The sequence below is a fragment of the Homo sapiens genome, chromosome 7 (assembly GCF_000001405.40).
Source record: "Homo sapiens chromosome 7, GRCh38.p14 Primary Assembly".
Lineage (NCBI taxonomy): Eukaryota > Metazoa > Chordata > Mammalia > Primates > Hominidae > Homo > Homo sapiens.
The window spans coordinates 141497127-141518757 of NC_000007.14; the positions used below are offsets into that span (position 1 = coordinate 141497127).

The 21631-nt window shown below is 44.5% G+C and overlaps 1 protein-coding gene and 1 long non-coding RNA gene across 7 annotated transcripts in view, besides 1 other annotated feature; one reads left to right on the plus strand and one right to left on the minus strand.

Moving 5' to 3' along the window:
- Positions 1–14170, plus strand: part of TMEM178B (transmembrane protein 178B) — a 437233-nt gene extending 423063 nt beyond the window's left edge. Inside the window, exon 5 of the transcript XR_001744505.2 lies at positions 13993–14170. The gene's annotated coding sequence lies outside the window, so the exon portion shown is untranslated. The remainder of the gene's footprint in view (positions 1–13992) is intronic.
- Positions 1389–1589: a silencer, noted in NCBI's record as "peak6797 fragment used in MPRA reporter construct". NCBI's record gives its function as "represses an SCP1 promoter by STARR-seq MPRAs in K562 erythroleukemia cells {active_cell/tissue: K562}" and the evidence as "EXISTENCE:reporter gene assay evidence [ECO:0000049][PMID:32103011]".
- The window catches only part of AGK-DT (AGK divergent transcript), a 51205-nt gene continuing 32587 nt past the window's right edge, over positions 3014–21631 (minus strand). For 4 of the 6 annotated variants that reach the window (NR_183407.1, NR_183402.1, NR_183405.1 and 1 more), the window contains one exon: positions 15779–16111. This is a non-coding gene — a long non-coding RNA (AGK divergent transcript). Of the gene's footprint in view, positions 4175–4765; positions 4879–6385; positions 6487–15582; positions 15747–15778; positions 16112–17423; positions 17604–21631 lie in introns of those variants that run through there. The other 2 variants (NR_183408.1, NR_183403.1) reach the window with 2 other exon arrangements.

Here is a 21631-nt window from a genome sequence, read left to right on the forward strand (position 1 = left end):
CCCTGCACACACAGGTAGAGAAGCCATCCCTAATAAGATCTGATTGTGAGAGGCTGCAAGTTTTCACAGAGAGAGACCTCAGGCAGGGGATCTTTACCTTGACCAGAAGGTGAGGAGGCAGAACGTGCTTCTAAAATTCTATGCTGAGAGGCCAGAAGGTTGGAGAGAAATTTCTGGCTGAGACAACTCTCCTTCCCTTTTCTCCTTTCTTTCCTCCTGCCTGTTGAAGCAATCAGACAATGGATGGAATCCAAGAAAATGGTTGCCTTTAGCAACCCAAATTCCTTAACTTTAAGTTGTGATTTTCCGTTACTTTGTTACCCCCTTTGGGCTCTCTCTTTTCCAAGTGTGACAAACTGAGCATCATATTGAATAGAGATCTAATATAGACTGTAGCCTAGTGATTGCTTCGTGGGCTTTGCATGTCATCCTTCTATAAATACAGTCTGGTATCATTTTGGCTTTTCAGCAATAGCAGTCCACTGCTGCATCCCTCCGTCTGTGGTCAAGCATGACCTCTCTTGTCTTCGTGTTACACCTGTGCCAAATCTCTCCTCCTCAACCCTGATTTTCCATGACTGGCTTCCCTGTCTCTAAATTTACCACTTTCTGTATTCCCACTCTTAGAAACTGCGGCATGATATTAGCAGAAGCCAGAGTTATTCAAATCCTTCTCTTTGACTATTGTCTAGAAAGAAAAAACATCTTCAAACTGGAAGGAGCAGAAATAAAGGCTGACGGAGCAACTACAACTCATGGACAAAAGCAGCAGCAGCCTCTTAAAAAGAATGGAGCCTGAAGCTGCAAAGCCCTGGGTTCAAGGGCAAGCTCAGTTTTTTTCATAACTGTGTGAGCTTGGGCAAGTTTTCTTACCTGTGAAAGGAGGCCATTTCACTACCTTATCTCTAAGCTACCTTTTAAAGACTCAAGCATTAATACCTCACCCTGCAATAAGTCCCCTTTTGGAAAGCTTATGGACTTTTGGAGTTCCAGAGTCAGATGGAAGAGACAAAGCCTGACCTGGTTTTCTAAATCTTAGGATATTTTATTAATCTCATTATGTTTGACACCTCATGGAAACAAGAACATGGATATCTTCTACCAATTCCAAGGCTTACATTCTGAACAGGGACTATAGGAATAAGAGGAAAACTCCTTCCCCCATCAGAATATTTTCCAGTTGCCTCCTGGTTTGGCACCGTCTTCTCAGGATAGCAGCTTGAGTTATGATCAGGGAAGGAGTGAGTCTGCCCTGTGGCCTTCACCTCTAATTCTGGCATGTTTGACCTGGAAGGTCTCCTTCTTCTAAGTCCTTGGCATCTTGTGACAACTAGCTTGGCCTCTTTATACCATGGGAATCATTCATGGCCTTAATATGTTCAGCCTCAAAAGAACAGAAGAATACCAAGATGTATAGAATCTTCAAGTCAACTAGGGAAAAGGTTTAAAGCTTCCTCAGATGAAGATAAGCAGCTTCTCACCAGGTGGCTGTGTTTGATAGTTAAAGATGTTTAAGGTGACAAAGTCTGTTCCACTGCCTCATCCTTTAGCATTGGACAAAAATCAGAAGAAGAGTAGTAATCAGTCTCTGACAGCAGACGCTTGCCACTAAAGCGAGGAATCCAGGAGAGCTCTCCTACCCTTATTAAGGCCAACCTCAAAAAGTTTATTTTCAAGTCTAAATAACTTTATCTGTGGATGTTTAAAGAACTTGTACTATAGTCTCAAAGTCACAGTTATTAATTTTTGAGGAATCATGAAAGAGATAAATAAGATTGGAGATAGCCATCAGATGGGATGCCAGTCGTGGAAAGTCAGCCTAATATGAATGCCAAGGCATATGCTAAATTAGACTTACTTAAAAAGCAGAGGGTGGTTGGAGGAGACTGTAGAATTTAAAAAAGCATGCCACCAGTACCACAGCCACCATACGCATGCACCATACTTGCCTTGTTTCATTTAAGTTTTAATAGATTATTTGGCTGGCAAGCTTCAGGGGCTACTGTGCTTAAAAGTATTTCTGTGCTTTAGACAATGTTTTTAAAATGTCATCTGTAAGATCTTTGTGGATAAGATGGTAAAATAAGGGATGTCTGGTAGTATTTCAGTGTACATTTCTAGCTGTTGGTTGATTACCCAATATGAAGGGGGTGACTCTTATTAGAGCTAGTCCTAATCCTTCCAACATTGTCAAAGAGTGGGATAAAAACGGAAAAGACGGCTGCATGTTGTGGCTTATGCCTATAATCTCAGCACTTTGGGAGGCCAAGGTGGGAGGATTGGTTGAGCCCAGGAGTTCAAGACCAGCCTGGGAACCATAGGAAGACCACATCTCTACAAAAAAAAAAAAAAAAAAAAAAAATTCAGCCAGACATTGTGGTGCATGCCTGTAGTCCCAGCTACTCAGGAGGCTGAGGTGGGAGGATTGCTTAAGCCTGGGAGGTCGAGGCTTCAGTGAGCCATTTTCAAGCCACTGTACTCTAACTTGGGTGACAGAGTGGGACCCTGTCTTAAAAAAACCAACAAAAAAACCCCACAAAAGATAAGTATATCAAATTTGCCAGTGACCTTAAGCCAGGAAGGATTGCTAATGTCTTCACTGACAGCATCAAATTTAACGTGATTTTTGTCAGACTTTACCTTGAGTTAAAACAAAAAAATATATAAAGTCCCACCATTTGATTTCAAGATCAATCACACACATGAAGAATGGGAGAAAAGCAGCTTGGCAGAAATCCACATGCAAATATCTTAGCATTTCAGTTGATCACAAACGTAATGTGATGTATCTTTAAAAATAATCCAGTGCAGTGTTTATTTTCTCCAATCAGAAGTAAAGTATTCAAGCACAAAGCATTTTTTTTCTCCCTGTATCTCGTGCTGCTCAAAGACCTGGGAAACTGTGTTCAATTTCTCACCTTTACAATTTTAAGAGAGTTACTGAATAAAACTGTGTATAGAGGAGAGCATCCAGATTGAGAATGATAACGATAACACATTTTTTAAATGGGAGTTTCTTGTTACTATTTAACCAAAATTTATTGACCATCAATTATGTGGCAGGCACTATCATTGTCCCTGGAAATTCAGGGATACACAAGATACGAGCCCATTGTCAAGGTGCTGATAATCTAGGAGAGGAATCAGACAGGTGTACAAGGTGAGGCATAATGAAGCCAATACTGCAGGGTAGGAGCATAAGCCAATGGGAATGGATGGGCAGGTGCAAGTCATTTTGATTGAGAGGCTCAGGAAAACTCGGAGGAAGTGCACTTCAAGAATCATACCTTTCTAAGTTGAAAGAAACCTTTTTCTTAGGGCATATAAAATTGGGAGGAGGGGGTGGATAATGGCTTCTTCTCAAAGATCCCTTTAACTCCAAACTCTATTTTGTATCTGAAGACTGGTCCTTGTACTACAAGGTCACATAGCTGGTTGCAGCCCTCAAGTTAGAATTCTATGGCCGTGTAGTCCTACGGAATTTCATCCCTTTGTTTTTCCTGTGGGCCATTTTTCCCCAATTGCTAAACCTTATTTTGCATGATTTTCTGCTAGAATTCAGCTGGCCAGCCAAATTTAGTATTGCCTGACAGTTTGACAGCCACATACTCAATTCCTTTGTCCAGATCACAAAGCCTCTGACTAGAATAGATCCACCCTCAACCCAGAGCAGGTGGCTTACCACTAGGTATGTCCCAGGCTACTTTCCAAAGATCTTTGCCAAGGACAGGATGGGTGTGAAAGGACCTCAGGCTTGTGACGGAAGGAAGTAATAAGCTCGATTGGAAATTCTATTACATTAAGAAAAGGCAGCCATGGAAATAAAGCTAAATAATCCTACTGAGCTCAGCAAGATAAATATATATGTATTTTATCCGTGTTGAAAATAGAGGAAGGAGAAAGAATGGAAGACAACTTGTATAGTTTGTTATCTCTAAAGCATCTACATCTTGTTGCTTGGGAGGGTCTCCAGTAGATGTGCCAGCTGGGGCTTCAAGATCAGAATTTGCATTTAGGAAGTTCACTTTCATGGGGTTTATCCATCTGTGTTAAAATGGTAGCTGTTCTTGAGGGTGAGGTGGACTCCCACAGGTAGGTCTCGGCGGTGCCCTTCCATGCTGTCTTCATTAGCTCTGGTTCCCTTGAAACTTTGTGGCCAAGAATCAGGTGAAATCTTAAATTTATTAGGAGAAAAAAAAAAGGAGAGTGAAAATTCAGTCAACAGAGCACGTACTACCACCAAGAACCTCCTAGAATCCACATTCTCTCCACATTTTATAGTCTTCTCCTTATCTACATGATCTCATATTTTCACTATTGGTATAAATGGGATGATTAATACACTGTGATGGTCTAATTTTATGTGTCAACTTGGCTAAGCGATGGTGCCCAGATATTTGGTCAAACACCAGTCTGAATGTTGCTGTAAAAATATTTTTTTAAAGATGAGGTTAATATTTAAATCAGTAGACTTTGAGTAAAACAAATTACCCTCTGTAATACAGGTGGGCCTCATTTAATCAGTTGAAGAAATGCTTACTTGAAAACAGAGTGAAGTCCCCAGAAGGAGAAGGGAATTCTGCCTTAGATTGCCTCTGGACTCAAGTCGCAACATTAACCCTTCTATGGGTCTCCAGCCTGCCAGGTTACCCTGCAGGTTTTTGGACTTGCCCCAGCCTCCACAATTATGTGAGTCAATTCCTTAGAATCAGTCTCTCATGCTCTCTCTCTCTCTCTCTCTCTCTGTCCCCAGATAAAATCTCACCTGCTACTTAGCAGAGGAAAACTAGGCTCCAGATGTAAACTCCTTTCACTTTCCACTCCTATACTCAAGGAATCACCTGGGCTTGCACGTGTCCTCACCTTGTACCTTCAAAGCTGAGAGAAGATGATCCATTTTCTGTTCTGAGTTGGTCTGTCCACCTGTGCTCTTGATCCGAACCCTTCCCATCTTCCCCCAAACTGAGACCTTGCTTCATCTGTTATCCCCTTTCCAGTACTTACAGCTGTGCATCCACTGCCCTCCCTAATACTTAAAAGCATGCTCGAATATCTCCCATGTTTTACAAAAATAAGCAAAACACCATCTCTTTGAACGCCTTATCTCTCTCCTTTCCACCTCTCCCAGTCTTGTCCCCACTCTCATATCCTGCTAGTGTTCCAGTGACTACTAAGGTTCAGAAAAGAGGCCGGGGATGGTGTCCATAGAACAGAGCCAGCTTTAATGCCTGGAGGTTTCCAATAATTATGAAGAGAATCCCCCAGGCATCACCAGTCCAACGGGCTAAATCCGAGGGAACTCTAAAGAGAAAGGTTAAAACAGCTGGTCATAGGCATCAGGAAGACATATAAGAAATACAGCTGGCTGGGCGTGGTGGCTCACGCCTGTAATCCCAGCACTTTGGGAGGCAAAGGCAGCTGATCACCTGAGGTAGGGAGTTCGAGACCAGCCTGACCAATATGAAGAAACCCCGTATCTACTAAACATAAAAAATTAGCTGGGCATGGTAGTGCATGCCTGTAATCCCAGCTATTCGGGAGGCTGAGGCAGGAAAATCGCTTGAACCCGGGAGGCGGAGGTTGCAGTGAGCTGAGAGCGTGCCATTGCACTCCAGCCTGGGCAACAAGAGCGAAACTCAGTCTAAAAAAAAAAAAAGATAAAAAGATAAAAAGACAGCCATTACTGGCACAACATAAATGGTAATAATCACTATCATTTATTGAGCACTTACTGGGTGCTAGGTACTGTTCCAAGGAATTTAATGTTTAATCTACCAACAAGTATGGAAGAGACCAAATTCATTTCTTTTTCCTCCTAGACACAGAGACTTCATTTCTCAGCCTGCTTTGACATAAGTGGGTCCGGGGTATTGTGCAAAGTGTATTGCCTTTAGGTCTGATCCATAACCCCTCCCCTCATCCACCCAGCTCTTCTCCAGATGATCTTCCTCTATCTGGCAGTTAGCAGAACCACAAAATGGAAGGAACATGAACTGAATTTCCATGTGGAAGGTTGCCCATTGAATACTCATTTGGACTATTTTACACGTGGAGTCAACCTTTATTATACTAAGCCAGGAAGATTCAAGGGTTCATCTGTTAAAGCAGCTAGAGTCCCTACCTAATTGCACAAGCCCACAAGTAGTGCTATTACTATTGTCATTTTCAAATAAGGCTTTTCAAGCAGAGAGTAGCTTTCCCAAGGCCTCAACGAGTAAGTACCAGAGTCAAGATTCAAATCCAAGCCATTTGGTGCCAAAGCCTATGCTGGTAGCCACTAGTTCTCTCCTATAAGGAGTAGTGGGGATGAATGAGATAATGCATACACAGTGTTAGCATAGTGAAGGAAGCATGGCCACTGTTAAATAAAGTCAACTCAATGTACTTGTTCATGATTATTATGAATGTCCTGAGGTCCTTCGTAGACTCTTCTTCCAGTCCCATCCTGATGCCCCAACCCTCAATGTGGGGGCACATTTCTGTCACCTGAAGAAAAGGAGCCATGAAAAAATAGGCAAATTTGTATTCTAATAAACCCTAACTCACACCTATTATGTGTCTCTGACCAACTATAGGGAATAAAATATTTGCTACCTTTCTGCTGTCTTTTTCTGTGTGATTATAGCTATATATTGAGGTTTCATGTGCAAATTGGGGCAATGTATGTATGTGTTGCTTGTAGAACAGGTCTATTTGCACTGTGGTAAAATTACAGATCTGTCCTGGTCTGGGTTTTTTATCACCAGATTGAAAGAACCTCTTCATACGTATGTGTATCAATTTGGAAGTTAGGGGAATAGCTAATATGATAGAAGACAAAACCCAGACTTCAACTGTTCTCAACAGGCTGGAATGATGGGCAAGAGCCAGGAAGAAATTTAATAGAGAAAAATAAATGGCAGAATTTTAGAAGAAAAGACCTTATAGGTCATTGACTGGAGCCTCTGATTAAATCCTTGAACTAGATAGATTTCCTCCCTCCTGATTTTTACTATTCTAATCACACCTGTTTCTGATGACCTCTGAGTGTGTGAAGAAATTACTGTATCTGTTTAAAAATCTTGTTAAATTCCAATTAAATGAACTGGGATAGCTTAGATTTTTAAACCCCAAGCTTTTAAAGTACATATATCAGAGGCAGACTTGTATTTAATCCCGTGTGTGTGATCTGTACTTTGGAAAGTGTTTAGTGAATACGCTTCAGTTTTGTTTGTTATTGATTGGTACAGTAGTTCTGGCAGGGAAACCATGGTGAAGCTACAATTTAACTGGTCATTTTATGTATATCTGTCACCTGAAGAAAAGGAGCCACAAAAAAATACGCAAATATGTATTCTAATAAACTTGAAGTCAGGTAAATAGAACAAATTTATTAGTTTCCTATATGAGAGAAGTGTTCGTAGGTTTGATGTCTAATAAATTTGCTAAAGCTGAATGCTCCTCAAAATGTTCTAATGTTAACCTAAAAAATTCAAGGTAAACTAGTCCCACTTAAGTACAAGGTAAAAGCAAAGGGTTAGACTGAACAAAGAGTGGTAATATCATCACTAATAATTACAACAATCTTTCTTTTTTATTTCAATAGCTTTTGGGGTACAAGTGGTTTTGGTTATGTGGATGAATTGTATAGTGGTGAAGTCTGACGCTTTAATGCACCCATCACCTGGGTAGTGTATATTGTACCCAACAAAACAATCTTTCTTAAATTGCAAAAGACATCAGAGTCACTTTGAGTGCTTAACAAAATGCAGATTCCTGAGTCCTGTCCCAAGACTATCAACCTGGAATCGCTGTGGACAGGGCCTAGGCCTGTATTTTAACAAGGTCCTAACATATTTTTTTAGGCATATGTGAATCTCTGGACTAGAAAGAAAATATCTAGATATTCCTATTTCCTTACAGAAATAGATAATTCATGATTTAAAACAATAGTTTATGTTCTGCTAGTACTAGTTTATGCTGATCTGGTTTTATTGAAGATTTGTATTTTTATGCAAAAATATAGCAGAGCAGAAAAGCATGCTATTCAACACTCTATAGAAAGCCTAGTGGTTTGGATTATAAATCCATAACCAAGTTACCTCCCATTTCATCAGTGGCAGGGCACCTAATGGCAATCAAGTACCTGGAAGCTAAAAAGCATCCACCACTGTCGGGCTGTAAGCCCAACCTCTGGTCATAGTAAAGACTGCAGTGAGAATGACCAAGTCAAAATAGAAAGTCCACATCTTTCCCATTTATTTTAATTGTAGGTCAGTGAATGTTTTCATATCTGCTCCCCTGCTCATTATTATCTGTGTGCCATTATGAGTCCTCGCTACACTGAACTCAGCTCCCCTTGTGTCCCTTTCAATCTGCTCTGGAGGCTAGTTTTTGCCCTGGGCCTGGCAAGTCCTGGGCAGGTCTTCAGATTTGTCTCATCCTGTTAGTCATGAGAGTAAGTTTCTTATAGTTAATATGCCCAGTCCCAGATAATACTTAATCCCATCTGAAGCTTTGCTGCTCCCTCAACTCTGTACTGCCTGCCGAACAGGACTGGGGCAGATGGCTGCTTTTCTTTCTCTACTGGCTCTTAACTACTTGCTAGCTGCTATTTCTGGCCCTGATGAGGATGGATAAAGGGATTCAGGAAAGGGTACAGTTTCTGGCTGCTGTGCAGTTGGTGGCCTCTGGCCTTGCAGAATTTCCAAGTACACTCTTCACTCAAACTTTATCTCTGTAGTTTCTCTGAGATGGCCCTCAAGAGCTTCCCAATGGTGTCGTAGTAGACCAGGTGCTGACTCCCCACAATGGCTGTGTCAGCTTCCAACACTCAGGCTCTCCACTGCAAGGGTATACCCCTCTGCTGGTTCAGTTCATCCCACCAGACAGAGGTTATGGGCCAGGTCCCTTTGCAGATGACTCTGGGTCATCTCCATCCAGCATATCACACATATGGTCCACCAGGAAACATCATTGCTCTACAGGTACACGTGCAAGTGCACATTGCTCCCAGGGCAGTTCTCTGTGTCTCTATCTCTGCCTCTCAATCTCTGCTCTGCCACTTCAAGCCTTTTTCTTTTATATTTTCAAGCAAGTATTAGATACTAGTTCCTAATATTCCCTAAGAGACATGTCAGGCTCTCTGAGTGATCCCAGCAATGCCTGCTGATTTGAGAGGAGTGCAAAGCATCTGCATTATTTTGTTTTCACACTGCTAATAAATACGCACCCAAAACTGGTAACAAAAAGAAGTTTAATTGGACTTACAGTTCCACATGGCTGGGAGGCCTCAGAATCATGGCAGGAGGCAAAAGGCACTTCTTACATGGTGACGGCAAGAGAAAATGAGGAAGAAGCAAAAGGAGAAACCCCTGATAAACCCATCAGATCTTGTGAGACTTATTCACTATCATGAGAATAGCACAGGGAAGACCGGCCGCCATGATTTAATTACCTCCCTCTCGATCCCTCCTACAGCACATGGGAATTCTGGGAGATACAATTCAAGTTGAGATTTGGATGGGGACACAGCCAAACCATACCATTCCTCACTTGGCCCCTCCCAAATCTTATGTCCTCACATTTCAAAACCAATCATGCCTTCCCAACAGTCCTCCAAAGTCTTGACTCATTTCAGCATTAACCCAAAAGTCCACAGTCCAAAGTCTCATCTGAGACAAGGCAAGTCCCTTCCGCCTATGAGCCTGTAAAATCAAAAGCAAGCTAATTACTTCCTAGATACAATAGGGGTACAGGTATTGGGTAAATACAGCCTTTCCAAATGGGAGAAATTGGCCAAAACAAAGGGTGTTACAGGGCCCATGCAAGTCTGAAATCCAAGGGGGCAATCAAATTTTAAAGCTCCAAAATGATCTCCTTTGACTCCATGTCTCACATCCAGGCAACACTGATACAAGAGGTGGGTTACCATGGACTTGGGCGGCTCTACCCCTTTGGCTTTGCAGGGTACAGCCTCCCTCCCAGCTGCTTTCATGGGCTGGCATTGAGTGTCTGCAGCTTTTCTAGGTGCACCGTGCAAGCTGTCGGTGCATCTACTATTCTGGGGTCTGGAGAACAGTGGCCCTCTTCTTACAGCTCCACTAGGTGGTACCCCAGTAGCAACTCTGTGTGGGGGCTCCAACCCCGCGTTTCCCTTCTGCACTGCCCTAGCAGAGGTTCTCTATGAGGGCTCTGCCCCTGCAACAAACTTTCACTTGGGCATCCAGGCGTTTCCATACATCTTCTGAAATCTAGGTTCCCAAACCTCAACTCTTTTTTTTTTAGATGGAGTTTCACTCTTGTTGCTCAGGCTGGAGGGCAGTGGCACGATCTTGGCTCACTGCAACCTCTGCCACCCGGGTTCAAATGATGCTCCTGCCTCAGCCTCCTGAGTAACTGGGATTACAGGTGTGCATCACCATGCCCAGCTAATTTTATATTTTTAGTAGAGATAGGGTTTTACCATGTTTTCCAGGCTGGTCTTGACTCCTGACCTCAGGTGATCCTCCTGCCTCAGCCTCCCAAAGTGCTGGGATTACAGGCATGCGCCACCGCGCCTGGCCCAAATCTCAATTATTGACTTCTGTGCACCCACAGGCTCAACACCACATGGAAGCTGCCAAGGCTTGGAGCTTCCATTCTCTGAGGCCACAGCCCAAGCTGTATGTTGGCCCCTTTCAGCCATGGCTGAAGCAGCTGGGACACAGGGCACCAAGTCCCTAGGTTGCACACAGCACAGGCACACTGGATCTGGCCCACGAAACCATTTTTTGCTCCTGGGCCTCTGGGCCTATGATGGGAAGGGCTGCCGTGAAGGTCTGACATGGCCTAGAGACATTTTCCCCATGATCTTGGGCATTAACATGATGCTCCTTGCTACTTATGCAAATTTCTGCAGCCCGCTTGAATTTCTCCCCAGAAAATGGGTTTTCCTTTTTTATCACTTAGTCAGGCTGCAAATTTTCTGAACTTTAATGCTCTGCTTCCCTTACAAAACTGAACACCTTTAACAGTACCCAAGTCACCTCTTGAATGCTTTGCTGCTTAGAAACTTCTTCTGCCAGACACCCTAAATCATCTTTCTCAAGTTCAAAATTCCACAAATCTCTAGGGCAGGGGCAAAATGCTCTAGCTTTAGCAGTCTCTTTGCTAAAACATAACAAGAGTCACCTTTACTCCAGTTACCAAGAAGTTCCTCACTCCATCTGAGACCACCTCAGCCTGGATCTTATTGTCCATATCACTATCAGCATTTTAGGCAAAGCCATTCAGCAAGTCTCTAGGAAATTCCCAAACTTTCCCACATTTTCCTGTCTTCCTCTGAGCCCTCCAAACTGTTCCAACCTCTGCCTGTTACCCAGTTCCAAAGTCACTTCCACATTTTCGGGTATCTTTTCAGCAGTGTCCCACTCTACTGGTACCAATTTACTGTATTAGTCCGTTTTCACCCTGCTGATAAAGACATACCCAAAACTGGTAACAAAAAGGTTTAATTGGACTTACAGTTCCACATGGCTGGGGAGGCCTCAGAATCATGGCGGGAGGCGAAAGGCACTTCTTACATGGTGGCAGCAAGAGTAAATGAGGAAGAAGCAAAAGTGGAAACCCCTGATAAACCCATCAGATCTCATGAGACTTATTCACTATCATGAGAATCGCACAGGAAAGACTGGCCCCATGATTTAATTACCTCCCCCTGGGTCCCTCCCACAACATGTGGGAATTCTGGGAGACACAATTCAAGTTGAGATTTGGTGGGGACACAGCCAAACCATATCAGCATCAAAACTCTAAGCATATGGATGACTCCTTCCGTGGGACAATGGCAAGTGATGGACTAACTGCAGCAACACTGATTTCTTAAGCTCGTGAGGTATTTTGCATGTGGTTCAACACCTTCTAGTATATGCGGGACATGACATCTATTCCATTGTTCTCTATCTTTAGGGATTTGGTGGAAACAGTAGACCTCAGGAAGACTGGTATTAAACATCCTATTACATGTGTACATTCATAGACATGCCATTGTGTGCCAATTGAGCATGGGAGAGAGGGAGAACTTATCTGGATGGTATGTTCTTTAGAAGATAGCATCAGTGAGAATAAATATGAAGATACATGGTAAATATAAAGTAGAGAATTTTAGGAAATAGAGTAAGTGAAGAGGAAGGAGAAAACCACCAAAAAAGTAGTAGGGAGGATAGAAAATTTCAGAAGAACAAGTGAACAAAGAATTTGAAGAAATAATTAACATTTTAGAGGCCAGGCACGGTGGCTCATGCATGTAATCCCAGCACTTTGGGAGGCCGAGGCAGGAGGATCACCTGAGGTCAGGAGTTCGAGACCAGCCTGGCCAACATGGCAAAACCCCGTCTCTACTAAAAGGAGAAAAATTAGCTGGGCATGGTGGCGGGCGCCTGTAATCCCAGCTACTCAGGAGGCTGAGGTAGCAGAATCGCATGAACCTGGGAGGTGGAGGTTGCAGTGAGCCGAGATTGTACCACTGCACTCCAGCCTGAGCAACAAGACAGAGATTCCTTCTCAAAAACAAAACAAAACAAAACAAAACATTTCACAGAACCTCAGTAGAGAAGGGAAAGGTACACTGAGCAGAAACTTGGCAACCCAGCTCCCCTGTGACCCTGATGATCAGCTGGGCATGGAACCATTTTCCTGGTCTACCTATCCTGAATGTTACAGATGCTCGGAAACACTGTTGGTTTCCTCTCACTGTCATGTTTCAGCTCTATTAATCCTCCGCATGTCCTTTGGGAACCACTGGACTAGAGGATGTCTAAGGTCAAGTCAAGCTCTGGGAGTCTACAAGGCACTCTATTATCTAAAGACAGTCATTTTGGGAGCTCAGCTCCACAGCCTTCCTTCAGAGTGGCAGTATCCTGAGTAGAAACTGAGACTAAGGTGGAAATTAGGCTGTGTCTCTGGAATAGCAAATAGACTCAACTTCTTAAGCATGTTCATTTATAAGCAGAACCCAGCTGGGACTTGGCAACAGAGGATGCTAGCTTCCGGGAGCCTGCTAGACACTGTAGGTCAAGGTAATGTGGTGACAGGGTTGGGCCCTGCAGCATCCAGGTAAGCCCAGTATTGCCAAGGCCAGGGACTGGAGCTGTGAGAAGATAAGATAACTCCCTTGTGTAGTTGTTCCAGAAAGCAGGCTACAGAGTTGCTAAAATAAGTGGAATTAGAGTAAAGGAAGGGCCAGGAGACCCTATGAGCAAGAAGGAAACAGAGCAAGAACTAAAAGGAAGAAGAGATCTATAAGAATGGAGCTCAGGGGCCGGGCGCGGTGGCTCATGCCTGTAATCCCAGCACTTTGGGAGGGCGAGGCAGGCGGATTATCTGAGGTCGGGAGTTCAAGACCAGCCTGATCAACATGGAGAAACCCCATCTCTATTAAAAATACAAAATTAGCCAAGTGTGGTGGTGCATGCCTGTAATCCCAGCTACTCAGGAGACTGAGGCAGGAGAATCCCTTGAACCCCAGAGGCGGAGGTTGCGGTGAGCCAAGAACGCACTGTTGCACTCCAGCCTGGGCAACAAGAGTGAAACTCCGTCTCAAAAAAAAAAAAAAAAAAAAAAAAAAAGAAAAAAAAAGAATGAGCTCAGAAAGTGCTTGGTGGATCCAGGCAACTCAGGCAACCCAAAACCCTTGGTTTCCAAAGCTTCCAAGAGGCAGACAGAGGTAGAAGCAGGGACGACACCAACTGCCCATGCCTTCCCCCAGCTTCAGGAAACCCAGCCCAAAGAGCCACAAAGAAGGGTGACAACTGGGGGTACATGGAAAGGGCATTCAATCCATGCTTAGATATTTGAGTGAAACAAGATTGGACCATTACTTCACTGTTGATGTGTAACTGAAGTGATGAAGTGGTTTTTCTAGGGAGCTTGGAACGTCAGCTCCATTATTTTAGAACTGTGCAATGTATTATCAGCAGTTCCAACGGAGAAGTTGCTTTAAACAGCTGTAAATTGTGCATTTTTAACCCACAGGCTTGGGATGGAGTTTGGCAGTGAGGAGACTTAGTGTAACAGAAGAAAGTCATCCAAGATGCCTGAGGAAAGAAACCTTCAATTGAGGTGGCTTTAGTGATGCCCTTTATATTAAGTGCTCTGTATACTGGGTAACATCCGTGGGCCCAAGAGAAGTCTCAGATGTGGCCCAGAAAGAAGAACAAGAGAGAAAGAGAGAAGAGAGAAGCTGAGAGAAGGGGAGGGGGGACGAGAGGAGAGGAGAATCCAGGCTGCAGTGATGGAGTGGAATATGACACCATTCAGTGAGGTACAAGGCCACAGCTTCCCCAGCTTTGGGAAACTTCCCTAAGGAGGGAATAACCTCCAGGACCCCCCTCCCCGATCCCCACCGGGCCTCAGGTGCCCTCCCTAGCCAGCACGTGAGTTCTCTCCAGTGGTGCGACCTGTTCTGCTCATGATCTGTCTGCTACTAGCCAGCCGGCTGGAAAATGTGGCCAAGAAAACCGCAGAGACCAATGTTCGGAGGAGAAAACCAGAAAGAGGGGCCTGCCTGGCCCCTTTGATCCTTTATGGCCGATTCCGTGGACATTGCTGCTCCTCACGCCGGCAGCCCTCTCTTGAGTACCTCAATTGCAGTCTCCAGACCCTCCACCCCGCCAGGCATTCCTGGGTCGGTGTCCCAGTCGGTCACAGTCATCGGATCCTCCTGCAGAGCAGTAGAAAGTCCGGGAGGGGCCCGTGCCCATGGCTCCAGGAAAGGAGCGGCCAGGTACCTGCCAGGGGAGACCAGGCACTTCCAGGTGCGACCAGGTACCTCCCAGGTGCGGCCAGGCGCCGCCTCATCTCTCGGTGGGCGAGTGTATTTATTCCAAACCCAGACTGAGAGGTGACAGCTTCAAGTCTGCTCGGGAAGGAAACACCTCGCAGGCCAAGCACAAAGGGGCTTACTCGTTTCTTTTCTGCAGCGGCAGCTTTCCCCCTCCCTCCTGTTTCTCCGCTTTCCCTCCTTTCCCTCCACCATTCCTCGCCCACTCCTGCCCTTCCCGGGTGGGACACGTGAGCTGCTTTGCTGCCCGGATGGAGGCTCTAGGGCTCCGCAGCTCCCAAGGCGCTTCTGGATGAGTCTGCGGCGCGTGAAGCGACAGCCCTGCGCCAGCCTCGTGGCCCACACCTGCGGCTTGATGTGTCTCTTAAAGGGCCCTTCCCTCTTTCCCGCTGCAGCTGACCTCTCTTCAGCCTCCTCGCTCACCTTAGTTTCACCTACTCCAAGTTCTTGCCCTCTCAGTGTTTGTCCCCTACAACCCCTTTCCTTCCCGTATTGACTTTCACCATTACCTTCTCTTCCGGTTCTCTCATTTACATGTCTGTTTTTATCTTCACTGTTTAGCCGGGGTCTCACCCCTTACCTCCGTCCCCATTAACCCAGCCTTCTCCCTCCTTTTCGTCTTCTCAATGTTTTTGAACCCCTTTTCCTCAGTTAGCCATGAGTAACACTTGACAGCAGTAGAACCTGGCTTACTTGCAAACTAGAAAGAGGTCCTAGAAATAACTAAATTTAGGACACACTTCACGGACATATTAAACAGAGCACAGATAATGTACTTAAACCTTTCTTGATGACTCAGGTGGGCAGTGTTCAGGATGAGCTGTGGTGGGAGGAACTTCATGGATTGACTACACTTTGAGGTCAGCATGGTTGGGTTATCAAATTGCAGAATCAGCAGCTTTATCCTTTTGATTCACCAGGAGCAATCACACATTGTAGAGTCACACTATAACATTCGCAAGAGAACAAAGACAAAACTAGATCATCAGTGTATTGATTTATTAGGGGGGATAAACTGTTAGTGGTAGAGATGGGCTAGATGCTCACCAATCCTGTTTCTTCTGCTTGGGCACATAGGGAGACTATATTCCACAGCCTCACTTGCAGTTAGGTGAAACAATGTGATTGAGTTCTACCCAGGTGAATGTGGGCAGAAGTGATATATGCCACTTGTAGATATACCCAAAAAATGTCTCAGGTGCTGGAAGTGAAGGACTTCGCAATGGAGGAGAAACACAGTAGAAGGATCCTGGATACATAAGTCACCACATGGAAGACAGCCACCAGGAGAGATGCCTGACTCACATTGGACTATCATGTGGACAAGAAATAAAATGTTATTGTGTTGAGACACTGTGCTTTAGAGACTGTTTATAAGTTAGCATTAGTATATCTTTACAGGGGAAAAATAACTTGTTTCCACTGTTCCAAATACCCATTTCCCATACCAAGGTATATAAAAAACCTTGTTGTCAGAGGCTTGCTTGGTAAGCATGAAATAGAACAAAGCCCTGAGAGTTAGTTTATTTAACTGCAATTCAACTTAAGCAAGACTTTTTGCTTTAGCTTAGAATACTGGAAAAAAGTTGATATTGCAAGTAAGGTGGGAAGGGCATTTAAATGGTCATTTTTGAAACATAGGGTACCATCTAACTACCTGTTCATCTTTTGATTTAGGAGGAAAGAGGAGCATGAGAACTCAGAAGAAATTGTACCTACTCAGAAGTGTGGAGTGAGGATAGACGTTCCCAGATTCAAAGGCATCATGAAGTGTCATGACAAGATAGAAAAGACTTTGGGCTGGCCAAGAAGGAACTGGATAAAATTATGAGTGAGGTAGGTGTTAGTTAAGTTCCAGGCACACATATGGTTTGCCATCTTGTCAACATCTCCATGTGGTTGCCTAATCAGTGTTAACAGAAAAACTTTTGACAAATTAAATTTAACAGAGTTTATTTGAGCAAAGAATGATTCATGAGTTGGGCAGCACTCAGAACTAGAAGAGGTTTGGAGACTGCCCTGCAAAGTGGGCAGCGAGTACTTATAGACAGAAAATGGAAGTGGAGTACAGAAATAGCTTGATTGGTTACAGCTAGGTGTTTGCATTATTTGGACATGGTCTGATCAGTTGGCTAACTCAGTTGGCTGAGTTAGCTTGCAGTTTGCTACATAGTGAGTCAAAGTAGAGAAACAGCCTCAGGCAAATGGCCTCCTGCTTATTTAATTTAATACAGGCCTTCCAAATCTAGCAAATCCAAAACTTCCTCTCAAAGCCCCTCCCATCTTAATAAACATTTATTCTATTTTTCCAATTTCTTGGACCAGAAACCATAAAGCTTGTCTTAAGTCATCTCTTTCTCTCATGCTCCACATTAAGTCCATTAGCAAATTCTGTATGCCCTACATCAAAATATGTCCAGAAATCAGCTACCTCTACCATCAGGCTGTGCCACCTTGTTCCAAGCTACAAACTTCTCTTCCCTATGGAAGTACAAAGGTCTCCTAATTGCCCTCCCTGCTTCCAGCCTTGCTCCCCTACTATCTATTTGCAGTCACAACATTTTTATTTTAAGATGGAAATCAGATTACATTATTCAAACTCTCCAAATGATTGCCATCTTACCATAAATGAAATCCCAAGTTCTGATAGTGGTTTCCATGATCTGTGCCCCTGCTTCATGAGAAGAGGAACTTAGTCTGTTTTGTTCTGTTTTGTTTAATGCTGTGTTCCCAGCAAGAATGCTGCCTGGCACACATTAGGATTGACTAAATATTTATTGAATGATGGACATAGAGGTAGAGACTGGGAAGAAAAAAAAAGGAAAGAAGAATATTTGAGGCCATAGTCACAAACATATACAGCATGGATTTAATGACCTTTGGTGGTGATAGCTCAAATGCTACAACATGAGAATGTCACCATTGTATAAGGAAGATCTTGGAACACACTCAGTTTCCTATTTTTTATGAAAAATGTGAGGCTTTCCCCAATGAAAATGAGGAAGACAGTTAATTCCACAAGCATCTTGGCTTCTTGACTTTTTATTTAAAGTATTTTTTTATTTTTATTTTTTGGAGACAGAGTCTTACTCTGTGGCCCAGGTTAGAGTGCAGTGGCATGATCTCAGCTTACTGCAACCTCTGCCTCCCGGGTTCAAGCAATTCTCGTGTCTCAGCCTCCCGAGTAGCTTGGACTACAGGCACACACCACCACGCCCGGCTTATTTTTTGTATTTTTAGTAGAGATGGGGTTTCACCATGTTGGCCAGGCTGGTCTCAAACTCCTGACCTCAGGTGATCCACCAGCCTCGGCCCCCTAAAGTGCTGGGATTATAGGCATGAGTCACCACGCCTGGCCTTCCTCATTTATAACATCATTCATAAATTCTTTTAATTTAGAAAGTTCTACTAAAAACTAGAAGACATGTACCACTATGTAGCTTAATGTGCACATGTCAAGGGCATTGTATATTCAGATACTGTATTTCCTTTGATAGATGCAACCTTGCAGGTGGATGTTAATGAATAAGCATAACCAAAAATATGGAACATCGCTCTAAATCTGTTCTATTGGATATGAGGAGTCCCAGCTCATTTCCTCATTGTCTCTTGTTTTCCTTGGCACACCATCCCTGTGGGTAGTGATTCGGGTCTCACCTCTGCTTTATGTCATCCTTCAGGTTCTAGCTTAAATGTCTCTTCTCAGAGAAACCATCCCTGACCACTATCTAAAGTAGGCAGCCTCTACCTGGTAATTCTCCTTCATAGAGTCCTCTTGTTTTCCTTTGCAGCACTTATCAATGATCTGTAATCACATATTGGTTTCTTGCCATTTATTCAATGTTACCTATCTTCCCAGAGTGTAAGCCCCTTGAGGTCAGGACCATGTCTATTTTGTCACAATGGGATGCCTAGTGCTTGACTTCAGTAGACACTCCATAGTAGACGCTGCATAGGTATTCGGTGGATACGAGAGTGAAACAGTGAATGAAGGAAGGTGGACCTGGGCCAAGGAGCTGGGCGGCCAAGGTCAGGTTTATGCCATCAGCCCCACTCAGGACAAATGTCCCGACTCCTGCTCGGAGCCCTCTTCCTACTACTCTGTGCTTCCCACAGCTGTTGATCATCTCACTGACAAGCAGGCTCAGCCAAGAAAGTGGAAAGAGGAAAAGAAAAATGAGGCACAGGAGGGTAGAATGGAAAATCTCAGCTCTTTTAGCAGCCACTCTTCCTTATTTCTTGCTAGAGTATTGGCACCTTTAAAAGCCTTGGCTGTCCTCCCCAACCTCCCCACTCAATCACAAACCGCAGCACCTAGAAAAAAATAAAGGCAAAAATCAATGTGCTAAATCTCAGTTGGGCTCAGTAGCAACTCCCTGCAGCTTCCCTCTGCAAGCCATGGAACTGAGCTCTCCAGCCCTCTCCCTGAACTTGACTGCAGGGTTGGGGAACTTGCATGCTAAAAATATGCCCTCTCCCCTTCGGCAACCCATTCCCAACCTGGTGAAGACCAAGGAGGAAGCTTCTGAGATTCTCCTCCTTGCCTTCCATTTGCAGCTCAGATTCTCTGTCCAATGACTTCATCTACCCTCTCCTGCTGTCCACTCTCTGCTCCCTTTCTTCTCAGCCCTCACTTGGTCTCTGCCCTACTTACCCAGCCAGTGGCCTCTAAAGTTTTCCATTCAGAATTTCCCTCTTTACCTTCTCTTTTAGATATGTAGAAAGTGAAAGGGAAAAGGGGATTGTTATCTGGGTACAGACGGTTGAGTTGGGAAGAGAATCATATTTTGATTATTAAAATATTAAAATGATACAGTTTCATTTCTGCACCCCCCCCAACCTTTTTTTTTTTTTTTTTTTGAGACAGAGTCTCACTCTGTTGCCCAGGCTGGAGTGCAGTGGCATGATCTTGGCTCACTGCAACCTCCGCCTCCCTAGTTCAAACAATTCTCATGCCTCAGCCTCCTGAGTAGTTGGGATTACAGGTGTGCACCACCACGCCCAGCTAATTTTTTGTATTTTTAGTAGAGGGGGGTTTTGCAATCTTGCCCAGGCTGGTCTTGAACTCCTGGCCTCAAGCACTCCACCTGCCTTGGCCTCTCAAAGTGCTGCGATTACAGGCATGAGCCACCGCAACTAGCCCATTTCTCCCTTAACCCATATTCTTTTCAGCTTTTCCCCTCTAAGTCTGAATCAAGGAGTCTACTGCCCCAGAGAAGGAGAAGGTGAGAGCCATGGATAACTAAGAGGCAACCGAGCACCTTGTGGTGTCAAATCTCACTTACTTGACCACTTAATCAGGAGCTTTCTCTTGAAAGCTAGGCTTTGTGGAAAAACAGCAGGGATTTCTAAATTCTAGAACTCTTCCTTTAATGCATCGAGAGCCCTGCCTGGCTGGCTAGATGGATAAATTTTAGGAAAGGACGGTCCATGTCAGAGAGAAGACTCATCTCATTGGGTGCTAGAAAGAAGCATATGAGGGATACGAAGAGACACAGCAGGGACAAGAGATCACATAGGTTCTCATTCCTAGGGACAGACACTCAGGTACATGTGCGTGTGTGTGTATGCATGCTCATGTGCGAGCATGCATGCATGCCCGTAGGTGAAGAGCAGGGGAGAGAAGTGGGGAACCTGCAAATGTTAAAGTGAAAGGTGGGCTCGTGTCACACGTACCTGGGCATACCTTAGAGGAAGCTCCCAGCTCCCAACTAAAGTCCCACTTCTTCAGGGTGACAAGAAGCAGTCATAAGGCATCCGCTGAGGAAGTGGCTGGATGAGGGAGCCTGGGGCAGCACTCCCAGCTCTCCACTGCTGGCTCAGGAAGAGCAGAGGACTCAGATGATCTTACCAGACCCAGAGAAGATGCTGAGAGGGCTGGGGGCCCACAGAGGTTCGTGGTCAGGAAAAAGGGACTGTTAAGGACAGAGACTTTGAGACCAGGGCCAATGGCTGGGCCCTGCCACACTTCTCAGTCCTTTTTGCAGATGATCCTTTATTCCTTTATATCCTTTATTCTTCTTTGTATATGAACCCTGGACTTCCTAACTCCCTCTCTTAGTGATATAATCCAATGTCACAGCTTTAAACACGTGCATGTCTCTAGGCCTAGATCTTCCTTGAACACTAGATTGTTAAAGGCAGTTCCTTCCCCACCATTTCCACTTACAAAATAAAAGTATCGGCTGGGCATGGTGGCTCATGCCTGTAATCCAAGCACTTTGGGAAGCCAAGGCGGGTGGATCACCTGAGGCCAGGAGTTCAAGACCAGCCTGACCAACATGGTGAAACCCCCTCTCTACTAAAAATGTAAAAATTAGCCAGGCGTGGTTGTGTGCACCTGTAGTCTCAGCTACTCAGGAGGCTGAGGCAGGAGAATTGCTTGAACCTGGGAAGCAGAGGTTGTAGTGAGCCGAGATCATGCCACTGCACTCCAGCCTGGGTGACAGAGTGAGACTCCATCTCAAAAATAAATAAAATAAATAAATAAATAAATACATACATACGTAAATAAAAGTATCCAAAACTGAGCTGGGTGTGGTAGCTCACGCCTGTAATTCCAGCACTTTGGGAGGCTGAGGCTAATGGATTCCCTGAGGTCAGGAGTTTGAGACCAGCCTGGCTAAAATGGTGAAAACCCATCTCTATTAAAAATACAAAAATTAGTTGGGCATGCTGGCACATGCCTGTAGTCCCAGCTACTCGGGAGGCTGAGGCAGGAGAATTGCTTGAACCTGGGAGGTTCAGGTTGCAGTGAGCCGAGATGGCGCCACTGCACTCCAACCTGGGCGACAAAGTGAGACTCCGTCTCAAAAAAAAAAAAAAAAATCC